At 41.7% G+C, this 12,971-nt stretch overlaps 1 protein-coding gene across 22 annotated transcripts in view; it reads left to right on the forward strand.

Moving 5' to 3' along the window:
• The window catches only part of STIM1 (stromal interaction molecule 1), a 238,607-nt gene that overhangs the window by 194,465 nt on the left and 31,171 nt on the right, over window positions 1-12,971 (forward strand). For 20 of the 22 annotated variants that reach the window (NR_168437.1, NR_168436.1, NR_168438.1 and 17 more), the window contains 2 exons: window positions 6,458-6,569; window positions 10,213-10,328. The exons of 1 other annotated variant lie outside the window; for it this stretch is intronic. Coding sequence is in view for 18 of the 21 variants with exons in the window: in NM_001382578.1 (NP_001369507.1) it covers window positions 6,458-6,569; window positions 10,213-10,328 (228 nt within the window). In the remaining 3 variants the exon portion in view is untranslated. The remainder of the gene's footprint in view (window positions 1-6,457; window positions 6,570-10,212; window positions 10,329-12,971) is intronic. One more of the 22 variants, NM_001382571.1, reaches the window with a different exon arrangement.

Below are 12,971 nucleotides of genomic sequence, written 5' to 3' on the forward strand. Positions count from 1 at the left end.
TTCATTAAAAACATCACATTATAATATTGAGGAATCACTAGCTCTAGTGCTCCACGTATGGTGATGATGCAATTTGCCATGTTGCAAATGACCATTCAGTTGTTTCAGTTAGAGTTGGTTCCTGTTATGACAGAAAATCCTTTCAATCTGATATAAGCAAAAGGGAGAATGTACTTCTTGCACAAAACTGAAATATCTATGAATAGGACTTTCTACAGGCATTATCTGACTCAGGGCTTAAATTATATCAGCTGGATTTTTTTTTTTTTTTTTTGAGACAGGCTCTCACTCTGTTGCCCAAGCTGGAGTGCAATGGCATGATCGCGGCTTATTGCAACCTCGACCTCCGAGGCTCAAGCCATCCTCCCACCTCAGCCTCCTGAGTAGCTGGGACCACAGGTTCACATCACCACACCTGGCTAATTTTTTTTTTTATTTTTTGTAGATATGTGGTCTCCCTATGTTGCCCTGACTGATCTCAAACCCCTGAGTTCAAGTGATCCTCCTGCCTCAGTCTCCCAAAGTGCTGGGATTATAGGCGTGAGTCACTGTGCCTGGCCTGTCATCTGGATCTTGACTCAGCTTTTCCTCTGTATGAAGGCTTCCAGCAGCATCAGGGAGGTTGTATACACAACCCCCCTGCCCAAACACACACACACACACACACACACACACACACACACACACACACACACATGCTTAGAACGTGAATGATGGAGCCAGACTGCCTGAGACCAAATCTTGGCTTTCCCAGTTCCTAGCTGGGTAACTTTGGGAAAGTTATATAAGCTTGCTGTGCTTTAGTTTCTTCATCCTTAAAATGGGGATAAAATGGGATATCTACTTCATATGAAAATGATGAAGATTAGTGAGTTAATATATGTGAGGTACTTAGAACAATACTCTCATAGACTAAGCGCTATGTAAGAGATGGCTTCTATTACTATTATTATTATTGTTGTTGTTATTAACATTATAGTTCAGGTTCATTTTATCCCAGACACCAGTATAGTGGAAAAGCAAGCATATCCCCTATGGGCCAAACAAAAATTTTAGAATTCAGTTTCTTCAGCCTTGATTTGGGTTATGTACTCATCCCTGAACTAAGCACTATGGGCAGAAAGATGGAATGTATTGATTGGTTTAGCTTGGGTTACATACTCTACTTTTAAAGGCTGATTTAGCTTTACCTGAAGCATATTAGCTGAGAGCAAGGGAGGAGTGGTTCTGTTCATACAAATTCAGAATACTGTTGCCACCAAAAAGGGAAGTGGATGCTTGGTGGCAAAAGTGAACCATGTTCATTATAGTGCTATCAGATAGATCGTAATAGGTGATCCTGTTATACTACATTAGTCTCTCTGGGGATGCACCAATTGGGACAGTTCTTGTCTGAATTAAACTAAAAGACAGTTTATATCTTTTAGTGGGTAATATTTGTCTTTTTGAATTGCAATTATGAATGTATATTTTGTGTAAAAACATCAGTTTGACCTCTGGGTTCTTTTGTATTAAAATATTTAAATTTGAGATATATTATTGTTATGAAGTACATTATGTCCTAAAATTCCAGGAAAATACAGTTGAGCCTTAACAACACAGGGGTTAGGGGTGCTGACTGTCCCTTTTCCCCCATGTAGTCAGAAATCCACTTGCAACTTTTGACTCCCTCAAAATTGAACTATTAATAGCTTGTTGACCAGAAGACTTACCAATAACATAAACAGCCTATTAACACATATTTTATATGTTATATGTATTATATACTGTATTCTTACAATAAAGTAAGAGAAGAGGAAATGTTATTAAGATAATCATAAGGAAGAGAAAATATATTTACTGTTTATTAAGTGGAAGTGGATCATCATAAAGGTTTTCATCCTCATCTTCACATTGAGTGGGCTGAGGAGGAGGAGGAAGAAGAGAGATTAGTCTTGCTGTCTCAGGGGTGGCAGAGGCAGAAAAGATAGAGAAGGTAGGAAGGGAGGTGGGAGAAGCAGGCACACTCAGTATACCTTTTATTGAAAAAAAAATCCATGTATAAAATTCATGTATAAATGGACCCAGGAAGTTAAAACCTGCATTGTTTAAAGGTGAACGGTGTCACTGTAACTATTTTGCATCAACACACTTATAAACACAAATGCAACATGAGCACTGAAGTTGAGAGCCTGTATTCTTATATATCTAGATGATACAGAATAAACTTTTGCTTTTTACTTTTAGCTTATTTCCAAAATATAAATATAGAATCAAAACACTTTAATGGTAAATTGTCTTTTTTTTTTTTTTGAGATGGAGTATTGCTCTGTCACTCAGGCTGGAGTGCAGTGACGCAATCTCGGCTCACTGCAACCTCTGCTTCCCGAGTTCAAGCGATTTTCCTGCCTCAGCCTCCCGAGTAGCTGGGACTACAGGCATGCACCACCACGCCTGGCTAATTTCTGTGTTTTTAATAGAGACGAGGTTTCACCATGTTGGCCAGGATGGTCTTGAACTCTTGAGGTCAGATGATCCACCTGCCTTCGCCTCCCAAAGTGCTGGGATTACAGTCATGAACCACTGCCTGGCCATAAATTATCTTTTTTTATCTGTTTTGCAACAGTCTCACTCCGTCACTCAGGCTAGAGTGCAGTGGCGTGATCATGGCTCTCTGCAGGCTCAATCTCCCAGGCTCAAGTGATCCTCCCACCTCAGCCTCCTGAGGAGCTGGGACTCTAGGTGTGCACCACCACACCTGGCTAATTGTCCCTGTTTGCAGATGACATGATTGTATGTTTAGAAAACCCCATCGTCTCAGCCCAAAATCTCCTTAAGCTGATAAGCAACTTCAGCAAAGTCTCAGGATACAAAATCAATGTGCAAAAATCATAAGCATTCCTATACATCAAGAACAGACAAACAGAGAGCCAAATCATGAGTGAACTCCCATTCACAATTGCTTCAAAGAGAATAAAATACCTAGGAATCCAACTTACAAGGGATGTGAAGCACCTCTTCAAGGAGAACTACAAACCACTGCTCAATGAGATAAAAGAGGACACAAACAAATGGAAGAACATTCCATGCTCATGGATAGGAAAAATCAATATCGTGAAAATGGCCATATTGCCCAAGGTAATTTATAGATTCAGTGCCATGCCCATCAAGCTACCAATGAATTTTTTCACAGAATTGGAAAAAACTACTTTAAAGTTCATATGGAACCAAAAAAGAGCCTAAGCCAAAAGAACAAAGCTGGAGGCATCATGCTACCTGACTTCAAACTATACTACAAGGCTACAGTAACCAAAACAGCATGGTACCGGTACCAAAACAGAGATCTAGACCAATGGAGCAGAACAGAGCCCTCAGAAATAATACCACACATCTGTAACCATCTGATCTTTGACAAACCTGACAAAAACAAGAAATGGGGAAAGGATTCCCTATTTAATAAATGGTGTTGGGAAAACTGGCTAGCCATATGTAGAAAGCTGAAACTGGATCCCTTCCTTACACCTTATACAAAAATTAATTCAAGATGGATTAAAAACTTACATGTTAGACCTAAAACCATGAAAACCCTAGAAGAAAACCTAGGCAATACCATTCAGGACATAGGCATGGGCAAGGACTTCATGTCTAAAACACCAAAAGCAATGGCAACAAAAGCCAAAATGGACAAATGGAGTCTAATTAAACTAAAGAGCTTCTGCTCAGCAGAAGAAACTACCATCAGAGTGAACAGGCAACCTACAGAATGGGAGAAAAGTTTTGCAATATACTCATCTGACAAAGGGCTAATATCCAGAATCTACAAAGAACTCAAACAAAGTTACAAGAAAAAACCCCATCAAAAAGTAGGCGAAGGATATGAACAGACACTTCTCAAAAGAAGACATTTATGCAGCCAACAGACACATGGAAAAATGCTCATCGTCACTGGCCATCAGAGAAATGCAAATCAAAACCGCAATGAGATACCATCTCACACCAGTTAGAATGGTGATCATTAAAAAGTCAGGAAACAACAGGTGCTGGAGAGGACGTGGAGAAATAGGAACCCTTTTACACTGTTGGTGGGACTGTAAACTAGTTTAACCATTGTGGAAGACAGTGTGGTGATTCCTCAAGGATCTAGAACTAGAAATACCATTTGACCCAGCCATCCCATTACTGGGTATATACCCAAAGGATTATAAATCATGCTGCTATAAAGACACATGCACACGTGTGTTTATTGCAGCACTATTCAAAATAGCAAAGACTTGGAACCAACCCAAATGTCCATCAACGATAGATTGGATTAAGAAGATGTGGCACATATACACCATGGAATACTATGCAGCCATAAAAAAGGATGAATTCATGTCCTTTGTAGGGACATGGATGAAGCTGGAAACCATCATTCTCAGCAAAATATCGCAAGAACAAAAAACCAAACACCGCATGTTCTCACTCATAGGTGGGAATTGAACAGTGAGAACACTTGGACACAGGAAGGGGAACATCACACACTGAGGCCTGTTGTGGGGTGGGGGGAAGGGGGAGAGATAGCATTAGGAGATATACCTAATGTAAATGACAAGTTAATGGGTGCAGCACACCAACATGGCACATGTATAGATATGTAAAAAACCTGCACATTGTGCACATGTACCCTAGAACTTAAAGTATAATAAAATAAAAAAAAGAAAGAAAGAAAAACCAGGCGACCAAATAGAAAAAAAAAAATTTTAATAGAGACAGGGTCTCACTGTATTGCCCAGGCTGGTCTTGAATTCTGGAGTTCAAGCAATCTCCCGCCTTAGCCTCTCAAAGTGCTGGAATTACAGGTGTGAGCTACCATGCCCGGCCTATATTAGATTATCTTGACCAGTGCTGTCTAACAGAACTTTCTACAATGATGGAAATGTTGTATAGTTTATGCTGTCCAATATGGTAGGCACTAGCCACATCTAGCTATTGGGCACTTGAAGTGTGGCTAGTGCCATCGAGCAACTGAATTCTTAATTTATTTAATTTTAATAAATTTAAATTGCCACTGTGGCTACTGGCTACTACTGCTTGGACAGTGCAGCTCTGAATAACATCAAATAAGAGAATGGCTATAAAGTGCCCAGTGTGCTCTATACTAAGCACACAGTAGATGTGAGAGGAGGAGAGGTCTATAGATTCTGTCCTGAAAAGGGTTGGGCCTCACCTAACTGGCCAGAGCAACCTGAGTTAGGCTTATCCCAGGACAATACTAGTAGCTATCTTAGCATGGTAGTCAAGACTCTTTGTGACATGGCTTCAACCTTCTTCTGCCACTACCTGCCATATATTCTATATTCTAGACCAGGGGTCCCCAACCCCTGGGCCACGGACCTGTGTCAGTCCATGGCCCGTTAGGGACTGGGCTGCACAGCAGGAGATGAGTGGTGGGTGAGGGAGTATTACTGCCTGAACTCCACCTTTTGTCAGATCAGCAGTGGCATTAGATCCTCATAGGAGTGCGAACCCTATTATGAACTGCACATGTGAGGGATCTAGGTTACGTGCTTCTTATGAGAATCTCACTGATGCCTGATGATCTAGGTGGAACAGTTTCATGCTGAAACCATCTCCCTGCCCAGGTCCATGGAAAAATCATCTTCCATGAAACCAGTCCCTCATGCCAAAAAGGTTGGGGACTGCTGTTTCACACACATCAAATTTCACATCTTTTCTTTTGCACCTGTCTTCATTCTGTATTGAGTGCCCTCCTCTCCCCACACCCATGAAATATTTGAGATAAGCTTCTACTAATCCTTTATGTTGCAATACATCATCTTCTCTGAGGCTGTCCCTGAAGCCCTAGGCAGTTATTTCCTTTCTTCTCTGTGCCGTATGTATTTTTCTCATCAGAATCTGTGCTTCACTCATGCTGTTTAGCTTTTGATCTCTTCCACTGGATTGGGAACTAACTTCCTCCAGGCTTGGCACTAAGTAGTCCCCTTATGAATGCTCAGTTGAATAGCTGGACGAATGGATGGATGGATAATTGATTCTCAACCCTGGTCACAACAGTTTAAAAATATTCCAAAATCAAATTTATTGAGTTATAATTTACATAAAAGAAGATACACCTATTTTAAATGTACAGTTTGATGCATTTTGACAGATGTTATCATTTGTGTAACCACCACCACATTCAAGATATAGAATATATCCATCACCTTATAATGTTGCATTTGTGATTTTTTCCCAGTCAGTCCCCAGCTCCCTTCCTGGCTCCAGCTAACCATTGATCTGCTTTCTATCACTATAGATTTGTCTTTTCTAGGATTTCATATAAATAGACTCACAGTGTATACTCCTTTCATACTTAGTATTTTATGGGACAGATAGATATTAAACACACAAATGTGGTAAATATTAAGGTCAGCATGACAACAAATGAAAGCAGTGCTTGGCATTCTAGAGTCATGGCTTTGCTTGTCTCTTTTCACAGTATACAATTGGACCGTGGATGAGGTGGTACAGTGGCTGATCACATATGTGGAGCTGCCTCAGTATGAGGAGACCTTCCGGAAGCTGCAGCTCAGTGGCCATGCCATGCCAAGGTCAGGAGGGGACTGGGTTTTTCTCTGTTGAGGGTACGGGGAATGGGCTGGAGTGGGCCTGCCTTCAGATTGCTCTGGCCAGTTAAGTGAGGTTCTGCCTTTTTCAGGGCAGCGTCTATAGATCTTGCCTCTTCTCACATCTGTTGTGCACTTGCTATAAAGTATGATGGGCGCTTTGTATCCACTCTCTTCTTTAATATTCCTGTCAGTCCTGGGAATAGTACTGATAGCTGCCATTTACTGAGTGCTTAGTACATGCCAGGCATTCTACTCAACACTGTATACAGTATCTCATTTAATTCTTACATCAGTCCTGTAAGGTGGGTATTATTGTATATAGATGATGAAACTGGTTAAGTAACTTATCCAAGGTCACAAACATGACTAGTTAGGGGCAAAACTGAGATTTGAATCTTGGTGTACATCAAACCCTGTTGGTGTTTCTTTTTTCTTTTTTTCCTGTGCCCTGAGCAGCTGCCTCTTTTATCACCCGGGAGCCTCAGGGCTCTTTTAGCCTCCCCTGGGTTATCCATATACAGCTTATTTATAATAAAAATGGTACAGAGGAGAGGCTGATTGCCATTGGCCCCAGCCTCATCTCTGGGATGGCTCCAACAGCTGTTGTTTCATAACTCTTTGCCTACTTTACACGCTGAATATGCTAGGGCTTGGGCTGGGAGTGGGAAGGGGATGGAGTACTGCTTGGACTTCTTGTCATGTCAAACTAGTGCCATATGCCATTCAGTCATTAATCCATTTACTTATTCATCCAACAAATATTTACTGGGTACCTGCTCTGTGCCAAGCACTTGTGCTGGGTGCTAGGGATAAAGATGACAACAAGCTGTCCTTGCCCTCAAAGGGCTTACTATCTGGTAAGTGCTGATTATGTATAATCTGTCATCTTATTATGTAGGTGCATCTGGTTTTGAGCTTCAGCAAAGGGGAAAGGGGAAGGTGAAGCTGTTGGAATGCCCACACTTTGCAGTCTCCAGCCACAGAGCTACTGAGCACTGCTGTCCAGGCCTAGCTGAGCTGGCTGTTCCCTCCTCTGCTGCCTGCAGCCTCTTCTTCACAGCTTCTCTCTGCTCTGGAGAGAGTAATAATCTTAATGTTTGTACCTCCCTTTATAGAGTGCTTTCCTACATATTATTTCAGTTGATTCTCACAACTCTGGGAGGAAGAGTATCCCAACCTTTGGGTGAACAAACTGAATCTCAAATATTTTATAATTTATCCAAGCTGGTAAGTGGCAGAGCTGGGATTTGAACCCAGGTCTGTCTTGTTCTAAATGCCCTGCTTTTTTTCACTGCATCTTCCTCTTGTGCCATGTGGTTAAAGATAGGCTTCCTTTCAATATTCAGTTTAGTTCTATTTTACAAAACTTCACTAAGCACCTACCATGTGCCATACTCTCTGGTGGGCCCAGAGGACAAAGAGATGTATTAGACCTGACCCCTGACTTGAGGAACTCCATGTTTAATGGAAAAGTAGATGACTGACCACTAAGATCCAGGATTTAGGTTTCTTTCTTGCTACCCATAGAAATAGCAATATTGCCTTGTGGATCCCTGGACCATTTTCCTCATGGGAAGGATATCTTTGGCTTGGATTAAAACTGCAAAGCATAGGATAAGAAGTCAGTTCTCAGGTCACTGGTTCACTTAGCTTTTTTGTGGCTAGAATTACAGCCAAGACCAGGTCCAGCCAGGCTGGGCACAGGTGTAGGGGATGTCAAGCTGTGGCACCTTAGTGACAGCAGGAAGCATGGGGCCTTCAGTGCTTGGGGTGAAGTGAGGGTGGTTCTAGGCCCATCACTAGCTCACATGGTATAATGAGAATAATCTAGCAGATTTGAGTTCATTCTCTGGCTTTGCCACTTACTTGTGTGTGACTTTGGGCAAGTTACTCAACTCTAAGTCTCCATTTTCTTATCTAGAAAGTCGCACTAGGCCGGGTGCAGTGGCTCACACCTGTAATCCCAGCACTTTGGGAGGCCAAGGTGGGTGGATCACGAGGTCAGGTGATCGAGACTATCCTGGCTAACATGGTGAAACCCCGTCTCTACTAAAAATACAAAAAATTAGCCAGGCGTGGTGGCAGGTGCCTGTAGTCCCAGCTACTCGGGAGGCTGAGGCAGGAGAATGGCGTGAACCCGGGAGGTGGAGCTTGCAGTGAGCTGAGATCGCGCCACTGCACTCCAGCCTAAGCGACAGAGCGAGACTCCGTCTCAAAAAAAAAAAAAAAAAGAAAGTGACACTAATAATGGAACTGAGTTCTTAAGGTTGTTGTGAGGACTGAATGAGGTATTGTATGTAAAGTATCAGAACAGTAGCAGACACACAGTAGTTGCTTAGTCAGTGTTAGCTCCTTTCTCATTTCTTTCATTGCTTACAAGTAGATAGCATTCCAGTTCATAGGTTTCTTTGAGAAATAGACTGTAGAAAAGACGACAATGTTTATTCTCATTAGTCAGACGAACTGCAGCACAAGTGTTTCAAAGAGGAACCCCAAGAACTCCCAGGCTTGTAGGAAGCATCTGATTTTACATAAGTTTGCACAGTAGGAAACTGAGGTCCTCGGGGAGGAACAAAGCAACTTATGATCAGACAAATGAGTCACTAGTAGAGCTGAAATGAGAAGCCAGATCTCCTAACCACTCCCACACCCCATCACAGTGCCTCACTGCGTCTCTTACTGGTGGGCTTGATTGCTTTCCAAGGCCAGAGAAGGAAGTAGCTGTTCCTGTATGCTCAGACAGGAGTATAAATCACACTGTGATGTCAGAAGCTTCTTTTCTAGCTGGAGAAATAAAGCTATGCATCAGAAAAGAGCACCAATCTTATAGAGTAGTATAGAATTAAGTGCTTACTTGTGGGACCTAGACCAGTGGTTTTCAACCTTTCATATCTTTTACCCCCCTCCTCTTATATCCACTGTGTTCCAGCAGAAGAGAAACAAAGTTCCATTTTTCCTAGGTCATTTTCTTGTTCACAGGCTTTCTCTTATTAAAGTTATCACTGACAGTATGGGTGGAGGTCATAAAAAATTACAGTAATTTTATTGGAGGTAACTTGTATTGCAGTGACTCAAATACAAGCTAACAGGACTAATTCCATTTTTGTCATCAGTGGTTAATTAAAATTTTTTTTCCTTTTCTATATTTCATTTCAATAGCACATTAGCAGGTTTATATATAATGACAGTGAGTTTAGATTAGGATAATTCATAAATCCCAGAATCACTGGGTCATATGACATGACAGTTTGACCTGGGCTGCACAGGAAATGCATTTATAAATGGTAGGAGGTGGGGAAAATATGTAGAGGATAAACCCTGGAAGGAGAAGCACAACAGAAAATTTAGTTGGGTGTGGGAATGGTCACAGACAGGTAATCCTTAGAGGATAGGGTGCTTAGAAGTTGGTGGATATGGGGAGAGGGCTGAACAAATTCTTGGTAAATGTTATGTGTCTCTCCATATACCCTGTTGAGACCCAACTGGTATAGACTCTGTGTTCTAGAGTGCAGAGGGGAGCAATCACCAAGAGCTAGAAGTGTTCCTGGGGGAGGCGGGTAATCCTACCAGGATCCTTCCTGGCTTTACTGGGAGGGAACTGATCTGCTACTCTTTGCCTCAACAGGCTGGCTGTCACCAACACCACCATGACAGGGACTGTGCTGAAGATGACAGACCGGAGTCATCGGCAGAAGCTGCAGCTGAAGGCTCTGGATACAGTGCTCTTTGGGCCTCCTCTCTGTGAGTCTTGTGTTGAGAAGGGCTACTGCTGTGCCATGGAAACCAAAGCTGTTGTAGTGGATAGGCTAAGGCTAAGGCTCTGGGTCTCCTAGGCACACCTGCAAGATAGCACCTATACTATTTCCACTGGTATTAAGGTATGAAAGAGTCTTACATTTTAGTCCAGACACGTAGCAACATGCATTCATTAAATACTTTAAGGAAATATCTGCATTGTGCCAATGCTGTGCTGGACCCTGTAGGAAGACCTGGAATGAATCATGTTCTGCCCTGAAGGGACAACATGAGTGTTCTGTAGAGGTACACAGTACTTCTGAGGCCCAGATGAGGGCTAGTGAAGGTATCCTATAGACAAGGTGACATGTTACCTCTGCCTTTAAGGGTGGATAGAGCTTTATTCTATGGAGGTGGCAGAATAGGACATTCTAGGCAGAGTAAACAACCTGAGCAAGAGTACAAAAGCTAAAATATGAAAAGTATGCTCAGGGATAGAAGTAACCCCCTATGGGCTGAAAGCTTTTTACCTGTTACCTACTTCTATATTTCATTTCAATAGCATATCAGCAGGTTTATATATATATAATGACAGTGGGTTATTGTAGACATGTAGAGTGCATGAACTGATTAATGAACATCTTTGTATTATTGAATGACCAAGGAGGACTAAGTGGGTTTTCACTGAAGCAGTAGACACACTCAGGCCTAAGAAAGGGTGGTCTCTTCAGCCAGGGTCTAGTTGAGAGAATTAGGTTGTTCAGTCTCTACAGATCTATGTGGTAGGAACGGCCAGCCTGTAATCCTTTTTCTAATTCTAAGTTAACCAAGGGGGAGCAAAAAGTAGTGAGATTTCTTGGAAAACTATTTTCAACCAAACAGGATCTTAGGGCCCACTTCCTGCCCTTTGGGAATGGCTGGCCTCGATTTAGGGTGCCAGCAGAAGAATGCTATTGAACCAGGAAACAGTCCAGAGAAGCAGCTGGCAGGCAAGGTCAGAGGCCATATAACATTTCCCTGTCTGTGAATATGGCTTGGCTAATGTGCAAGTTGATGTCTCAATACAAGTGGATCCATACTTTTTGAAAGTATGAAACAGAGCAACCTGGGAGAAGACTAATGTTTCCACTTCCTTTGCCACCTTTTTTTTGGGGGAGTGGAGGGTTCTAGGACACATTTTACTCACCTTCATTGGTAGGTTTTGAATAACGACACAGTGAATGGTTCTACTCTTTATGTAAGGCGTAGTCTCTGTATTGAGCAATGGCCTTCCAGTCATTCACTAACCTTTACTGAGCACATTCTATGTACCAGCATAATCGGCAGGGTCCCTGCTCTCCAGTACTTCTATCTAAATGGAGATAGCTATGTCAACAAATATAGTAAAGTGTCAACAAATATAGTAAGTGTTATAGCTATTATGTAAGTCTTTCCAGAGTTCAACTGGGGGCACAAACTAGGGAGGAGTTTCCTATTGGAGTCCAGGGAAACTTTATGGAGAAAGTAATTCTTGAGCTGAGTCTTAAAAGATGAGAAGTGGCCTTATTAAACTCTCCCTATGTTAACAGCTTACACATCTCTTTGTATACACCAACAAGGACACTTATACCCAACTATAAAAGCTAGGCTACTTTTGCAGAGGTTCTCCTCTGTCACCACCATGCAAGGGGAAGCTTTCAGCAGCCTGAAAGTCTTCCTTAGCCTTGTAATATATATTATCAAGCTTTATCTGTATCAAAATCAGATTTATCATGTCTGAAAGGATACAGTAGAAACTGCAGGTTAAAGCAGTCAAGGATTTTATCTGAAAAAATCAGCTAGCATGGGAACCAGAATGCTGGGGACATGGTACTGGGTCCAGGATATCAGAACCAACAAGAGGGGCCCTGGTGGAGCAGGTTGGACTGATACCAGGACAGGGGTATTCTTCTCTTAGGCTTATTGCATGTAGCCCATGTGCTGCATGTGATCTAACTTAAGGAAGGCCAGAGATCAGCAGGAAAACTATCTTCCTGAGATAGGCAGAACACAGGTACTGAAGCTAAGAATATACTTCACACTGACTGGGATACTTATAATAATAATAGTTTTTAAAAATGGAAAACTTGTGTTGGCGAGGGTATAGAGAAATTGAAACCCTGTATATTGCTGGTGAGAAGGTAAAACGGTTCAGCTACTGTGTAAAATAGTCTGGTGGTTTCTCAGAAATTAGACACAGAGTTACCCTAGAACCTAGCAATTCCACACTTAGGTATATATGCAAAGAATTGAAGACAAGTACTCAAACAAGTACATGTACATGCATTTTCATAGCAGCACATGTCACAAGAGCCAAAAAATAAAACAACCCAACTGTCTATTAATAGATGAATAGATAAATACATTGTGGTGCAATGGAATATTATTCACCTATAAATGGAATGAAGTTCTGATACATGCTACAATGTGGATGAACCTGGAAAACATTATGCTAAATGAAAGAAGCCAGACACAAAAGATCACATATTATATGATTCTGTTAATATGAAATGATTAGAATAGATAAATCCACAGAGACAGAATGTAGACTAATGGTTGGCAGGGGTTGGTGGGAGGAGGGAATGGGGAGAAACCGCTTACTGGTAAAAAATTTTACTGTAGAGTGATGGA

The sequence above is a fragment of the Homo sapiens genome, chromosome 11 (genome assembly GCF_000001405.40).
Source record: "Homo sapiens chromosome 11, GRCh38.p14 Primary Assembly".
Taxonomy (NCBI): Eukaryota; Metazoa; Chordata; class Mammalia; order Primates; family Hominidae; genus Homo; species Homo sapiens.